The 17,430-nt window shown below is 39.2% G+C and overlaps 1 annotated feature.

Annotated features, from left to right (window-relative positions):
• Positions 1-17,430: part of a centromere (Linear centromere model derived predominantly from reads generated in PMID: 17803354. This region does not represent an actual centromere sequence, as long-range ordering of repeats and unmapped WGS contigs is not provided by the model. For details of model production, see http://arxiv.org/abs/1307.0035.) that runs on past both edges of the window.

The following is a 17,430-nucleotide window of genomic DNA, read 5'->3' on the forward strand; positions in this document are numbered from 1 at the left end:
TTCGTTGGAAACGGGAATATCTTCAAATAAAATCTAGCCAGAAGCATTCTAAGAAACAGCTTAGGGATGTTTACATTCAAGTCACAGAGTTGAACATTCCCTTTCACAGAGCAGGTTTGAAACAATCTTCTCGTACTATCTGGCAGTGGACATTTTGAGCTCCTTGGGGCCTATGCTGAAAAAGGAAATATCTTCCGACAAAAACTAGACAGAAGCATTCGCAGAATCACGTTTGTGATGTGTGCACTCAACTGTCAGAATTGAACCTTGGTTTGGACAGAGCACTCTTGAAACACTCTTTTTGTAGAATCTGCAGGTGGATATTTGGCTAGCTTTGAGGATTTCGTTGGAAACGGTAATGTCTTCAAAGAAAATCTAGACAGAAGCATTCTCAGAAACACCTTCGTGATGTTTGCAATCAAGTCACAGAGTTGAACCTTCCGTTTCATAGAGCAGGTTGGAAACACTCTTTTTGTAGTATCTGGAAGTGGACATTTGGAGTGCTTTCAGGCCTATGGTGAAAAAGGAAATATCTTCCCATAAAAACGACATAGAAGCTATCTCAGGAACTTGTTTATGATGCATCTAATCAACTAACAGTGTTGAACCTTTGTACTGACAGAGCAGTTTGAAACACTCTTTTTTTGGAATCTGCAAGTGGATATTTGGATCGCTTTGAGGATTTCGTTGGAAACGGGATGCAATATAAAACGTACACAGCAGCATACTCAGAAAATACTTTGCCATATTTCCATTCAAGTCACAGAGTGGAACATTCCCATTCATAGAGCAGGTTGGAAACACTCTTTTTGGAGTATCTGGAAGTGGACATTTGGAGCGCTTTCTGAACTATGGTGAAAAAGGAAATATCTTCCAATGAAAACAAGACAGAAGCATTCTGAGAAACTTATTTGTGATGTGTGTCCTCAACAAACGGACTTGAACCTTTCGTTTCATGCAGTACTTCTGGAACACTCTTTTTGAAGATTCTGCATGCGGATATTTGGATAGCTTTGAGGATTTCGTTGGAAACGGGCTTACATGTAAAAATTAGACAGCAGCATTCTCAGAAACTTCTTTGTGGTGTCTGCATTCAAGTCACAGAATTGAACTTCCCCTCACATAGAGCAGTTGTGCAGCACTCTATTTGTAGTATCTGGAAGTGGACATTTGGAGGGCTTTGTAGCCTATCTGGAAAAAGGAAATATCTTCCCATGAATGCGAGATAGAAGTAATCTCAGAAACATGTTTATGCTGTATCTACTCAACTAACTGTGCTGAACATTTCTATTGATAGAGCAGTTTTGAGACCCTCTTCTTTTGGAATCTGCAAGTGGATATTTGGATAGATTTGAGGATTTCGTTGGAAACGGGATTATATATAAAAAGTAGACAGCAGCATTCTCAGAAACTTCTTTGTGATGTTTGCATCCAGCTCTCAGAGTTGAACATTCCCTTTCATAGAGTAGGTTTGAAACCCTCTTTTTATAGTGTCTGGAAGCGGGCATTTGGAGCGCTTTCAGGCCTATGCTGAAAAAGGAAATATCTACCTATAGAAACTAGACAGAAGCATTCTGAGAATCACGTTTGTGATGTGGGTACTCAACTAACAGTGTTGATCCATTCTTTTGATACAGCAGTTTTGAACCACACTTTTTGTAGAATCTGCAAGTGGATATTTGGATAGCTGTGAGGATTTCGTTGGAAACGGGAATGTCTTCATAGAAAATTTAGACAGAAGCATTCTCAGAACCTTGATTGTGATGTGTGTTCTCCACTAACAGAGTTGAACCTTTCTTTTGACAGAACTGTTCTGAAACATTCTTTTTATAGAATCTGGAAGTGGATATTTGGAAAGCTTTGAGGATTTCGTTGGAAACGGGAATATCTTCAAATAAAATCTAGCCAGAAGCATTCTAAGAAACATCTTAGGGATGTTTACATTCAAGTCACAGAGTTGAACATTCCCTTTCACAGAGCAGGTTTGAAACAATCTTCTCGTACTATCTGGCAGTGGACATTTTGAGCTCCTTGGGGCCTATGCTGAAAAAGGAAATATCTTCCGACAAAAACTAGACAGAAGCATTCGCAGAATCACGTTTGTGATGTGTGCACTCAACTGTCAGAATTGAACCTTGGTTTGGACAGAGCACTTTTGAAACACTCTTTTTGTAGAATCTGCAGGTGGATATTTGGCTAGCTTTGAGGATTTCGTTGGAAACGGTAATGTCTTCAAAGAAAATCTAGACAGAAGCATTCTCAGAAACACCTTCGTGATGTTTGCAATCAAGTCACAGAGTTGAACCTTCCGTTTCATAGAGCAGGTTGGAAACACTCTTTTTGTAGTATCTGGAAGTGGACATTTGGAGGGCTTTGTAGCCTATCTGGAAAAAGGAAATATCTTCCCATGAATGCGAGATAGAAGTAATCTCAGAAACATGTTTATGCTGTATCTACTCAACTAACTGTGCTGAACATTTCTATTGATAGAGCAGTTTTGAGACACTCTTCTTTTGGAATCTGCAAGTGGATATTTGGATAGATTTGAGGATTTCGTTGGAAACGGGATTATATATCAAAAGTAGACAGCCGCATTCTCAGAAACTTCTTTGTGATGTTTGCATCCAGCTCTCAGAGTTGAACATTCCCTTTCGTAGAGTAGGTTTGAAACCCTCTTTTTATAGTGTCTGGAAGTGGGCATTTGGAGCGCTTTCAGGCCTATGCTGAAAAAGGAAATATCTACCTATAGAAACTAGACAGAAGCATTCTGAGAATCACGTTTGTGATGTGGGTACTCAACTAACAGTGTTGATTCATTCTTTTGATACAGCAGTTTTGAACCACACTTTTTGTAGAATCTGCAAGTGGATATTTGGATAGCTGTGAGGATTTCCTTGGAAACGGGAATGTCTTCATAGAAAATTTAGACAGAAGCATTCTCAGAACCTTGATTGTGATGTGTGTTCTCCACTAACAGGGTTGAACCTTTCTTTTGACAGAACTGTTCTGAAACATTCTTTGTATAGAATCTGGAAGTGGATATTTGGAAAGCTTTGAGGATTTCGTTTGAAACGGGAATATCTTCAAATCAAATCTAGCCAGAAGCATTCTAAGAAACATCTTAGGGATGTTTACATTCAAGTCACAGAGTTGAACATTCCCTTTCACAGAGCAGGTTTGAAACAATCTTCTCGTAGTATCTGGAAGTGGACATTTTGAGCTCCTTGGGGCCTATGCTGAAAAAGGAAATATCTTCCGACAAAAACTAGACAGAAGCATTCACAGAATCACGTTTGTGATGTGTGCACTCAACTGTCGGAATTGAACCTTTGTTTGGACAGAGCACTTCTGAAACACTCTTTTTGTAGAATCTGCAGGTGGATATTTGGCTAGCTTTGAGGATTTCGTTGGAAACGGTAATGTCTTCAAAGAAAATCTAGACAGAAACATTCTCAGAAACACCTTCGTGATGTTTGCAATCAAGTCACAGAGTTGAACCTTCCGTTTCATAGAGCAGGTTGGAAACACTCTTTTTGTAGTATCTGGAAGTGGACATTTGGAGCGCTTTCAGGCCTATGGTGAAAAAGGAAATATCTTCCCATAAAAACGACATAGAATCTATCTCAGGAACTTGTTTATGACGCATCTAATCAACTAACAGTGTTGAACCTTTGTACTGACAGAGCCGTTTGAAACACTCTTTTTTTTGGAATCTGCAAGTGGATATTTGGATCGCTTTGAGGATTTCGTTGGAAACGGGATGCAATATAAAACGTACACAGCAGCATACTCAGAAAATACTTTGCCATATTTCCATTCAAGTCACAGAGTGGAACATTCCCATTCATAGAGCAGGTTTGAAACAGTCTTTTTGGAGTATCTGGAAGTGGACATTTGGAGCGCTTTCTGAACTATGGTGAAAAAGGAAATATCTTCCAATGAAAACAAGACAGAAGCATTCTGAGAAACTTATTTGTGATGTGTGTCCTCAACAAACGGACTTGAACCTTTCGTTTCATGCAGTACTTCTGGAACACTCTTTTTGAAGATTCTGCATGCGGATATTTGGATAGCTTTGAGGATTTCGTTGGAAACGGGCTTACATGTAAAAATTAGACAGCAGCATTCTCTGAAACTTCTTTGTGGTGTCTGCATTCAAGTCACAGAATTGAACTTCCCCTCACATAGAGCAGTTGTGCAGCACTCTATTTGTAGTATCTCGAAGTGGACATTTGGAGGGCTTTGTAGCCTATCTGGAAAAAGGAAATATCTTCCCATGAATGCGAGATAGAAGTAATCTCAGAAACATGTTTATGCTGTATCTACTCAACTAACTGTGCTGAACATTTCTATTGATAGAGCAGTTTTGAGACACTCTTCTTTTGGAATCTGCAAGTGGATATTTGGATAGATTTGAGGATTTCGTTGGAAACGGGATTATATATAAAAAGTAGACAGCAGCATTCTCAGAAACTTCTTTGTGATGTTTGCATCCAGCTCTCAGAGTTGAACATTCCCTTTCATAGAGTAGGTTTGAAACCCTCTTTTTATAGTGTCTGGAAGCGGGCATTTGGAGCGCTTTCAGGCCTATGCTGAAAAAGGAAATATCTACCTATAGAAACTAGACAGAAGCATTCTGAGAATCACGTTTGTGATGTGGGTACTCAACTAACAGTGTTGATCCATTCTTTTGATACAGCAGTTTTGAACCACACTTTTTGTAGAATCTGCAAGTGGATATTTGGATAGCTGTGAGGATTTCGTTGGAAACGGGAATGTCTTCATAGAAAATTTAGACAGAAGCATTCTCAGAACCTTGATTGTGATGTGTGTTCTCCACTAACAGAGTTGAACCTTTCTTTTGACAGAACTGTTCTGAAACATTCTTTTTATAGAATCTGGAAGTGGATATTTGGAAAGCTTTGAGGATTTCGTTGGAAACGGGAATATCTTCAAATCAAATCTAGCCAGAAGCATTCTAAGAAACATCTTAGGGATGTTTACATTCAAGTCACAGAGTTGAACATTCCCTTTCACAGAGCAGGTTTGAAACAATCTTCTCGTACTATCTGGCAGTGGACATTTTGAGCTCCTTGGGGCCTATGTTGAAAAAGGAAATATCTTCCGACAAAAACTAGACAGAAGCATTCGCAGAATCACGTTTGTGATGTGTGCACTAAACTGTCAGAATTGAACCTTGGTTTGGACAGAGCACTTTTGAAACACTCTCTTTGCAGAATCTGCAGGTGGATATTTGGCTAGCTTTGAGGATTTCGTTGGAAACGGTAATGTCTTCAAAGAAAATCTAGACAGAAGCATTCTCAGAAACACCTTCGTGATGTTTGCAATCAAGTCACAGAGTTGAACCTTCCGTTTCATAGAGCAGGTTGGAAACACTCTTTTTGTAGTATCTGGAAGTGGACATTTGGAGGGCTTTGTAGCCTATGTGGAAAAAGGAAATATCTTCCCATGAATGCGAGATAGAAGTAATCTCAGAAACATGTTTATGCTGTATCTACTCAACTAACTGTGCTGAACATTTCTATTGATAGAGCAGTTTTGAGACACTCTTCTTTTGGAATCTGCAAGTGGATATTTGGAGAGATTTGAGGATTTCGTTGGAAACGGGATTATATATCAAAAGTAGACAGCAGCATTCTCAGAAACTTCTTTGTGATGTTTGCATCCAGCTCTCAGAGTTGAACATTCCCTTTCATAGAGTAGGTTTGAAACCCTCTTTTTATAGTGTCTGGAAGCGGGCATTTGGAGCGCTTTCAGGCCTATGCTTAAAATAGGAAATATCTACCTACAGAAACTAGACAGAAGCATTCTGAGAATCACGTTTGTGATGTGGGTACTCAACTAACAGTGTTGATCCATTCTTTTGATACAGCAGTTTTGAACCACACTTTTTGTAGAATCTGCAAGAGGATATTTGGATAGCTGTGAGGATTTCGTTGGAAACGGGAATGTCTTCAAAGAAAATCTAGACAGAAGCATTCTCAGAAACACCTTCGTGATGTTTGCAATCAAGTCACAGAGTTGAACCTTCCGTTTCATAGAGCAGGTTGGAAACACTCTTATTGTAGTATCTGGAAGTGGACATTTGGAGCGCTTTCAGGCCTATGGTGAAAAAGGAAATATCTTCCCATCAAAACGACATAGAAGCTATCTCAGGAACTTGTTTATGATGCATCTAATCAACTAACAGTGTTGAACCTTTGTACTGACAGAGCACTTTGAAACACTCTTTTTTTGGAATCTGCAAGTGGATATTTGGATCGCTTTGAGGATTTCGTTGGAAACGGGATGCAATATAAAACGTACACAGCAGCATACTCAGAAAATACTTTGCCATATTTCCATTCAAGTCACAGAGTGGAACATTCCCATTCATAGAGCAGGTTGGAAACACTCTTTTTGGAGTATCTGGAAGTGGACATTTGGAGCGCTTTCTGAACTATGGTGAAAAAGGAAATATCTTCCAATGAAAACAAGACAGAAGCATTCTGAGAAACTTATTTGTGATGTGTGTCCTCAACAAACGGACTTGAACCTTTCGTTTCATGCAGTACTTCTGGAACACTCTTTTTGAAGATTCTGCATGCGGATATTTGGATAGCTTTGAGGATTTCGTTGGAAACGGGCTTACATGTAAAAATTAGACAGCAGCATTCTCAGAAACTTCTTTGTGGTGTCTGCATTCAAGTCACAGAATTGAACTTCCCCTCACATAGAGCAGTTGTGCAGCACTCTATTTGTAGTATCTGGAAGTGGACATTTGGAGGGCTTTGTAGCCTATCTGGAAAAAGGAAATATCTTCCCATGAATGCGAGATAGAAGTAATCTCAGAAACATGTTTATGCTGTATCTACTCAACTAACTGTGCTGAACATTTCTATTGATAGAGCAGTTTTGAGACACTCTTCTTTTGGAATCTGCAAGTGGATATTTGGATAGATTTGAGGATTTCGTTGGAAACGGGATTATATATAAAAAGTAGACAGCAGCATTCTCAGAAACTTCTTTGTGATGTTTGCATCCAGCTCTCAGAGTTGAACATTCCCTTTCATAGAGTAGGTTTGAAACCCTCTTTTTATAGTGTCTGGAAGCGGGCATTTGGAGCGCTTTCAGACCTATGCTTAAAATAGGAAATATCTACCTACAGAAACTAGACAGAAGCATTCTGAGAATCTCGTTTGTGATGTGGGTACTCAACTAACAGTGTTGATCCATTCTTTTGATACAGCAGTTTTGAACCACACTTTTTGTAGAATCTGCAAGAGGATATTTGGATAGCTGTGAGGATTTCGTTGGAAACGGGAATGTCTTCAAAGAAAATCTAGACAGAAACATTCTCAGAAACACCTTCGTGATGTTTGCAATCAAGTCACAGAGTTGAACCTTCCGTTTCATAGAGCAGGTTGGAAACACTCTTATTGTAGTATCTGGAAGTGGACATTTGGAGCGCTTTCAGGCCTATGGTGAAAAAGGAAATATCTTCCCATAAAAGCGACATAGAAGCTATCTCAGGAACTTGTTTATGAGGCATCTAATCAACTAACAGTGTTGAACCTTTGTACTGACAGAGCAGTTTGAAACACTCTTTTTTTGGAATCTGCAAGTGGATATTTGGATCGCTTTGAGGATTTCGTTGGAAACGGGATGCAATATAAAACGTACACAGCAGCATACTCAGAAAATACTTTGCCATATTTCCATTCAAGTCACAGAGTGGAACATTCCCATTCATAGAGCAGGTTGGAAACACTCTTTTTGGAGTATCTGGAAGTGGACATTTGGAGCGCTTTCTGAACTATGGTGAAAAAGGAAATATCTTCCAATGAAAACAAGACAGAAGCATTCTGAGAAACTTATTTGTGATGTGTGTCCTCAACAAACGGACTTGAACCTTTCGTTTCATGCAGTACTTCTGGAACACTCTTTTTGAAGATTCTGCATGCGGATATTTGGATAGCTTTGAGGATTTCGTTGGAAACGGGCTTACATGTAAAAATTAGACAGCAGCATTCTCAGAAACTTCTTTGTGGTGTCTGCATTCAAGTCACAGAATTGAACATCCCCTCACATAGAGCAGTTGTGCAGCACTCTATTTGTAGTATCTGGAAGTGGACATTTGGAGGGCTTTGTAGCCTATGTGGAAAAAGGAAATATCTTCCCATGAATGCGAGATAGAAGTAATCTCAGAAACATGTTTATGCTGTATCTACTCAACTAACTGTGCTGAACATTTCTATTGATAGAGCAGTTTTGAGACACTCTTCTTTTGGAATCTGCAAGTGGATATTTGGATAGATTTGAGGATTTCGTTGGAAACGGGATTATATATAAAAAGTAGACAGCAGCATTCTCAGAAACTTCTTTGTGATGTTTGCATCCAGCTCTCAGAGTTGAACATTCCCTTTCATAGAGTAGGTTTGAAACCCTCTTTTTATAGTGTCTGGAAGCGGACATTTGGAGCGCTTTCAGGCCTATGCTGAAAAAGGAAATATCTACCTATAGAAACTAGACAGAAGCATTCTGGAATCACGTTTGTGATGTGGGTACTCAACTAACAGTGTTGATCCATTCTTTTGATACAGCAGTTTTGAACCACACTTTTTGTAGAATCTGCAAGTGGATATTTGGATAGCTGTGAGGATTTCGTTGGAAACGGGAATGTCTTCATAGAAAATTTAGACAGAAGCATTCTCAGAACCTTGATTGTGGTGTGTGTTCTCCACTAACAGAGTTGAACCTTTCTTTTGACAGAACTGTTCTGAAACATTCTTTTTATAGAATCTGGAAGTGGATATTTGGAAAGCTTTGAGGATTTCATTGGAAACGGGAATATCTTCAAATAAAATCTAGCCAGAAGCATTCTAAGAAACATCTTAGGGATGTTTACATTCAAGTCACAGAGTTGAACATTCCCTTTCACAGAGCAGGTTTGAAACAATCTTCTCGTACTATCTGGCAGTGGACATTTTGAGCTCCTTGGGGCCTATGCTGAAAAAGGAAATATCTTCCGACAAAAACTAGACAGAAGCATTCGCAGAATCACGTTTGTGATGTGTGCACTCAACTGTCAGAATTGAACCTTGGTTTGGACAGAGCACTTTTGAAACACTCTTTTTGTAGAATCTGCAGGTGGATATTTGGCTAGCTTTGAGGATTTCGTTGGAAACGGTAATGTCTTCAAAGAAAATCTAGACAGAAGCATTCTCAGAAACACCTTCGTGATGTTTGCAATCAAGTCACAGAGTTGAACCTTCCGTTTCATAGAGCAGGTTGGAAACACTCTTTGTAGTATCTGGAAGTGGACATTTGGAGGGCTTTGTAGCCTATCTGGAAAAAGGAAATATCTTCCCATGAATGCGAGATAGAAGTAATCTCAGAAACATGTTTATGCTGTATCTACTCAACTAACTGTGCTGAACATTTCTGTTGATAGAGCAGTTTTGAGACACTCTTCTTTTGGAATCTGCAAGTGGATATTTGGATAGATTTGAGGATTTCGTTGGAAACGGGATTATATATAAAAAGTAGACAGCAGCATTCTCAGAAACTTCTTTGTGATGTTTGCATCCAGCTCTCAGAGTTGAACATTCCCTTTCATAGAGTAGGTTTGAAACCCTCTTTTTATAGTGTCTGGAAGCGGGCATTTGGAGCGCTTTCAGGCCTATGCTGAAAAAGGAAATATCTACCTATAGAAACTAGACAGAAGCATTCTGAGAATCACGTTTGTGATGTGGGTACTCAACTAACAGTGTTGATCCATTCTTTTGATACAGCAGTTTTGAACCACACTTTTTGTAGAATCTGCAAGTGGATATTTGGATAGCTGTGAGGATTTCGTTGGAAACGGGAATGTCTTCATAGAAAATTTAGACAGAAGCATTCTCAGAACCTTGATTGTGATGTGTGTTCTCCACTAACAGAGTTGAACCTTTCTTTTGACAGAACTGTTCTGAAACATTCTTTTTATAGAATCTGGAAGTGGATATTTGGAAAGCTTTGAGGATTTCGTTGGAAACGGGAATATCTTCAAATCAAATCTAGCCAGAAGCATTCTAAGAAACATCTTAGGGATGTTTACATTCAAGTCACAGAGTTGAACATTCCCTTTCACAGAGCAGGTTTGAAACAATCTTCTCGTACTATCTGGCAGTGGACATTTTGAGCTCCTTGGGGCCTATGCTGAAAAAGGAAATATCTTCCGACAAAAACTAGACAGAAGCATTCGCAGAATCACGTTTGTGATGTGTGCACTCAACTGTCAGAATTGAACCTTGGTTTGGACAGAGCACTTTTGAAACACTCTTTTTGTAGAATCTGCAGGTGGATATTTGGCTAGCTTTGAGGATTTCGTTGGAAACGGTAATGTCTTCAAAGAAAATCTAGACAGAAGCATTCTCAGAAACACCTTCGTGATGTTTGCAATCAAGTCACAGAGTTGAACCTTCCGTTTCATAGAGCAGGTTGGAAACACTCTTTTTGTAGTATCTGGAAGTGGACATTTGGAGGGCTTTGTAGCCTATCTGGAAAAAGGAAATATCTTCCCATGAATGCGAGATAGAAAGTAATCTCAGCAAACATGTTTATGCTGTATCTACTCAACTAACTGTGCTGAACATTTCTATTGATAGAGCAGTTTTGAGACACTCTTCTTTTGGAATCTGCAAGTGGATATTTGGAGAGATTTGAGGATTTCGTTGGAAACGGGATTATATATAAAAAGTAGACAGCAGCATTCTCAGAAACTTCTTTGTGATGTTTGCATCCAGCTCTCAGAGTTGAACATTCCCTTTCATAGAGTAGGTTTGAAACCCTCTTTTTATAGTGTATGGAAGCGGGCATTTGGAGCGCTTTCAGGCCTATGCTTAAAATAGGAAATATCTACCTACAGAAACTAGACAGAAGCATTCTGAGAATCACGTTTGTGATGTGGGTACTCAACTAAGAGTGTTGATCCATTCTTTTGATACAGCAGTTTTGAACCACACTTTTTGTAGAATCTGCAAGAGGATATTTGGATAGCTGTGAGGATTTCGTTGGAAACGGGAATGTCTTCAAAGAAAATCTAGACAGAAGCATTCTCAGAAACACCTTCGTGATGTTTGCAATCAAGTCACAGAGTTGAACCTTCCGTTTCATAGAGCAGGTTGGAAACACTCTTATTGTAGTATCTGGAAGTGGACATTTGGAGCGCTTTCAGGCCTATGGTGAAAAAGGAAATATCTTCCCATAAAAACGACATAGAAGCTATCTCAGGAACTTGTTTATGATGCATCTAATCAACTAACAGTGTTGAACCTTTGTACTGACAGAGCACTTTGAAACACTCTTTTTTTGGAATCTGCAAGTGGATATTTGGATCGCTTTGAGGATTTCGTTGGAAACGGGATGCAATATAAAACGGTACACAGCAGCATACTCAGAAAATACTTTGCCATATTTCCATTCAAGTCACAGAGTGGAACATTCCCATTCATAGAGCAGGTTTGAAACACTCTTTTTGGAGTATCTGGAAGTGGACATTTGGAGCGCTTTCTGAACTATGGTGAAAAAGGAAATATCTTCCAATGAAAACAAGACAGAAGCATTCTGAGAAACTTATTTGTGATGTGTGTCCTCAACAAACGGACTTGAACCTTTCGTTTCATGCAGTACTTCTGGAACACTCTTTTTGAAGATTCTGCATGCGGATATTTGGATAGCTTTGAGGATTTCGTTGGAAACGGGCTTACATGTAAAAATTAGACAGCAGCATTCTCAGAAACTTCTTTGTGGTGTCTGCATCCAAGTCACAGAATTGAACTTCCCCTCACATAGAGCAGTTGTGCAGCACTCTATTTGTAGTATCTGGAAGTGGACATTTGGAGGGCTTTGTAGCCTATCTGGAAAAAGGAAATATCTTCCCATGAATGCGAGATAGAAGTAATCTCAGAAACATGTTTATGCTGTATCTACTCAACTAACTGTGCTGAACATTTCTATTGATAGAGCAGTTTTGAGACACTCTTCTTTTGGAATCTGCAAGTGGATATTTGGATAGATTTGAGGATTTCGTTGGAAACGGGATTATATATAAAAAGTAGACAGCAGCATTCTCAGAAACTTCTTTGTGATGTTTGCATCCAGCTCTCAGAGTTGAACATTCCCTTTCATAGAGTAGGTTTGAAACCCTCTTTTTATAGTGTCTGGAAGCGGGCATTTGGAGCGCTTTCAGGCCTATGCTTAAAATAGGAAATATCTACCTACAGAAACTAGACAGAAGCATTCTGAGAATCACGTTTGTGATGTGGGTACTCAACTAACAGTGTTGATCCATTCTTTTGATACAGCAGTTTTGAACCACACTTTTTGTAGAATCTGCAAGAGGATATTTGGATAGCTGTGAGGATTTCGTTGGAAACGGGAATGTCTTCAAAGAAAATCTAGACAGAAGCATTCTCAGAAACACCTTCGTGATGTTTGCAATCAAGTCACAGAGTTGAACCTTCCGTTTCATAGAGCAGGTTGGAAACACTCTTATTGTAGTATCTGGAAGTGGACATTTGGAGCGCTTTCAGGCCTATGGTGAAAAAGGAAATATCTTCCCATAAAAACGACATAGAAGCTATCTCAGGAACTTGTTTATGATGCATCTAATCAACTAACAGTGTTGAACCTTTGTACTAACAGAGCAGTTTGAAACACTCTTTTTTTGGAATCTGCAAGTGGATATTTGGATCGCTTTGAGGATTTCGTTGGAAACGGGATGCAATATAAAACGTACACAGCAGCATACTCAGAAAATACTTTGCCATATTTCCATTCAAGTCACAGAGTGGAACATTCCCATTCATAGAGCAGGTTGGAAACACTCTTTTTGGAGTATCTGGAAGTGGACATTTGGAGCGCTTTCTGAACTATGGTGAAAAAGGAAATATCTTAAAATGAAAACAAGACAGAAGCATTCTGAGAAACTTATTTGTGATGTGTGTCCTCAACAAACGGACTTGAACCTTTCGTTTCATGCAGTACTTCTGGAACACTCTTTTTGAAGATTCTGCATGCGGATATTTGGATAGCTTTGAGGATTTCGTTGGAAACGGGCTTACATGTAAAAATTAGACAGCAGCATTCTCAGAAACTTCTTTGTGGTGTCTGCATTCAAGTCACAGAATTGAACTTCCCCTCACATAGAGCAGTTGTGCAGCACTCTATTTGTAGTATCTGGAAGTGGACATTTGGAGGGCTTTGTAGCCTATCTGGAAAAAGGAAATATCTTCCCATGAATGCGAGATAGAAGTAATCTCAGAAACATGTTTATGCTGTATCTACTCAACTAACTGTGCTGAACATTTCTATTGATAGAGCAGTTTTGAGACACTCTTCTTTTGGAATCTGCAAGTGGATATTTGGATAGATTTGAGGATTTCGTTGGAAACGGGATTATATATAAAAAGTAGACAGCAGCATTCTCAGAAACTTCTTTGTGATGTTTGCATCCAGCTCTCAGAGTTGAACATTCCCTTTCATAGAGTAGGTTTCAAACCCTCTTTTTATAGTGTCTCGAAGCGGGCATTTGGAGCGCTTTCAGGCCTATGCTTAAAATAGGAAATATCTACCTACAGAAACTAGACAGAAGCATTCTGAGTAATCACGTTTGTGATGTGGGTACTCAACTAACAGTGTTGATCCATTCTTTTGATACAGCAGTTTTGAACCACACTTTTTGTAGAATCTGCAAGAGGATATTTGGATAGCTGTGAGGATTTCGTTGGAAACGGGAATGTCTTCAAAGAAAATCTAGACAGAAGCATTCTCAGAAACACCTTCGTGATGTTTGCAATCAAGTCACAGAGTTGAACCTTCCGTTTCATAGAGCAGGTTGGAAACACTCTTATTGTAGTATCTGGAAGTGGACATTTGGAGCGCTTTCAGGCCTATGGTGAAAAAGGAAATATCTTCCCATAAAAACGACATAGAAGCTATCTCAGGAACTTGTTTATGATGCATCTAATCAACTAACAGTGTTGAACCTTTGTACTGACAGAGCAGTTTGAAACACTCTTTTTTTGGAATCTGCAAGTGGATATTTGGATCGCTTTGAGGATTTCGTTGGAAACGGGATGCAATATAAAACGTACACAGCAGCATACTCAGAAAATACTTTGCCATATTTCCATTCAAGTCAGAGAGTGGAACATTCCCATTCATAGAGCAGGTTGGAAACACTCTTTTTGGAGTATCTGGAAGTGGACATTTGGAGCGCTTTCTGAACTATGGTGAAAAAGGAAATATCTTCCAATGAAAACAAGACAGAAGCATTCTGAGAAACTTATTTGTGATGTGTGTCCTCAACAAACGGACTTGAACCTTTCGTTTCATGCAGTACTTCTTGAGCACTCTTTTTGAAGATTCTGCATGCGGATATTTGGATAGCTTTGAGGATTTCGTTGGAAACGGGCTTACATGTAAAAATTAGACAGCAGCATTCTCAGAAACTTCTTTGTGGTGTCTGCATTCAAGTCACAGAATTGAACTTCCCCTCACATAGAGCAGTTGTGCAGCACTCTATTTGTAGTATCTGGAAGTGGACATTTGGAGGGCTTTGTAGCCTATCTGGAAAAAGGAAATATCTTCCCATGAATGCGAGATAGAAGTAATCTCAGAAACATGTTTATGCTGTATCTACTCAACTAACTGTGCTGAACATTTCTATTGATAGAGCAGTTTTGAGACCCTCTTCTTTTGGAATCTGCAAGTGGATATTTGGATAGATTTGAGGATTTCGTTGGAAACGGGATTATATATAAAAAGTAGACAGCAGCATTCTCAGAAACTTCTTTGTGATGTTTGCATCCAGCTCTCAGAGTTGAACATTCCCTTTCATAGAGTAGGTTTGAAACCCTCTTTTTATAGTGTCTGGAAGCGGGCATTTGGAGCGCTTTCAGGCCTATGCTGAAAAAGGAAATATCTACCTATAGAAACTAGACAGAAGCATTCTGAGAATCACGTTTGTGATGTGGGTACTCAACTAACAGTGTTGATCCATTCTTTTGATACAGCAGTTTTGAACCACACTTTTTGTAGAATCTGCAAGTGGATATTTGGATAGCTGTGAGGATTTCGTTGGAAACGGGAATGTCTTCATAGAAAATTTAGACAGAAGCATTCTCAGAACCTTGATTGTGATGTGTGTTCTCCACTAACAGAGTTGAACCTTTCTTTTGACAGAACTGTTCTGAAACATTCTTTTTATAGAATCTGGAAGTGGATATTTGGAAAGCTTTGAGGATTTCGTTGGAAACGGGAATATCTTCAAATAAAATCTAGCCAGAAGCATTCTAAGAAACATCTTAGGGATGTTTACATTCAAGTCACAGAGTTGAACATTCCCTTTCACAGAGCAGGTTTGAAACAATCTTCTCGTACTATCTGGCAGTGGACATTTTGAGCTGCCTTGGGGCCTATGCTGAAAAAGGAAATATCTTCTGACAAAAACTAGACAGAAAGCATTCGCAGAATCACGTTTGTGATGTGTGCACTCAACTGTCAGAATTGAACCTTGGTTTGGACAGAGCACTTTTGAAACACTCTTTTTGTAGAATCTGCAGGTGGATATTTGGCTAGCTTTGAGGATTTCGTTGGAAACGGTAATGTCTTCAAAGAAAATCTAGACAGAAGCATTCTCAGAAACACCTTCGTGATGTTTGCAATCAAGTCACAGAGTTGAACCTTCCGTTTCATAGAGCAGGTTGGAAACACTCTTTTTGTAGTATCTGGAAGTGGACATTTGGAGGGCTTTGTAGCCTATGTGGAAAAAGGAAATATCTTCCCATGAATGCGAGATAGAAGTAATCTCAGAAACATGTTTATGCTGTATCTACTCAACTAACTGTGCTGAACATTTCTATTGATAGAGCAGTTTTGAGACACTCTTCTTTTGGAATCTGCAAGTGGATATTTGGAGAGATTTGAGGATTTCGTTGGAAACGGGATTATATATAAAAAGTAGACAGCAGCATTCTCAGAAACTTCTTTGTGATGTTTGCATCCAGCTCTCAGAGTTGAACATTCCCTTTCATAGAGTAGGTTTGAAACCCTCTTTTTATAGTGTCTGGAAGCGGGCATTTGGAGCGCTTTCAGGCCTATGCTTAAAATAGGAAATATCTACCTACAGAAACTAGACAGAAGCATTCTGAGAATCACGTTTGTGATGTGGGTACTCAACTAACAGTGTTGATCCATTCTTTTGATACAGCAGTTTTGAACCACACTTTTTGTAGAATCTGCAAGAGGATATTTGGATAGCTGTGAGGATTTCGTTGGAAACGGTAATGTCTTCAAAGAAAATCTAGACAGAAGCATTCTCAGAAACACCTTCGTGATGTTTGCAATCAAGTCACAGAGTTGAACCTTCCGTTTCATAGAGCAGGTTGGAAACACTCTTATTGTAGTATCTGGAAGTGGACATTTGGAGCGCTTTCAGGCCTATGGTGAAAAAGGAAATATCTTCCCATAAAAACGACATAGAAGCTATCTCAGGAACTTGTTTGTGATGCATCTAATCAACTAACAGTGTTGAACCTTTGTACTGACAGAGCAGTTTGAAACACTCTTTTTTTGGAATCTGCAAGTGGATATTTGGATCGCTTTGAGGATTTCGTTGGAAACGGGATGCAATATAAAACGTACACAGCAGCATACTCAGAAAATGCTTTGCCATATTTCCATTCAAGTCACAGAGTGGAACATTCCCATTCATGGAGCAGGTTTGAAACACTCTTTTTGGAGTATCTGGAAGTGGACATTTGGAGCGCTTTCTGAACTATGGTGAAAAAGGAAATATCTTCCAATGAAAACAAGACAGAAGCATTCTGAGAAACTTATTTGTGATGTGTGTCCTCAACAAACGGACTTGAACCTTTCGTTTCATGCAGTACTTCTGGAACACTCTTTTTGAAGATTCTGCATGCGGATATTTGGATTGCTTTGAGGATTTCGTTGGAAACGGGCTTACATGTAAAAATTAGACAGCAGCATTCTCAGAAACTTCTTTGTGGTGTCTGCATTCAAGTCACAGAATTGAACTTCCCCTCACATAGAGCAGTTGTGCAGCACTCTATTTGTAGTATCTGGAAGTGGACATTCGGAGGGCTTTGTAGCCTATCTGGAAAAAGGAAATATCTTCCCATGAATGCGAGATAGAAGTAATCTCAGAAACATGTTTATGCTGTATCTACTCAACTAACTTTGCTGAACATTTCTATTGATAGAGCAGTTTTGAGACACTCTTCTTTTGGAATCTGCAAGTGGATATTTGGATAGATTTGAGGATTTCGTTGGAAACGGGATTATATATCAAAAGTAGACAGCAGCATTCTCAGAAACTTCTTTGTGATGTTTGCATCCAGCTCTCAGAGTTGAACATTCCCT

Source organism: Homo sapiens, chromosome 8 (genome assembly GCF_000001405.40).
Source record: "Homo sapiens chromosome 8, GRCh38.p14 Primary Assembly".
Taxonomy (NCBI): domain Eukaryota; kingdom Metazoa; phylum Chordata; class Mammalia; order Primates; family Hominidae; genus Homo; species Homo sapiens.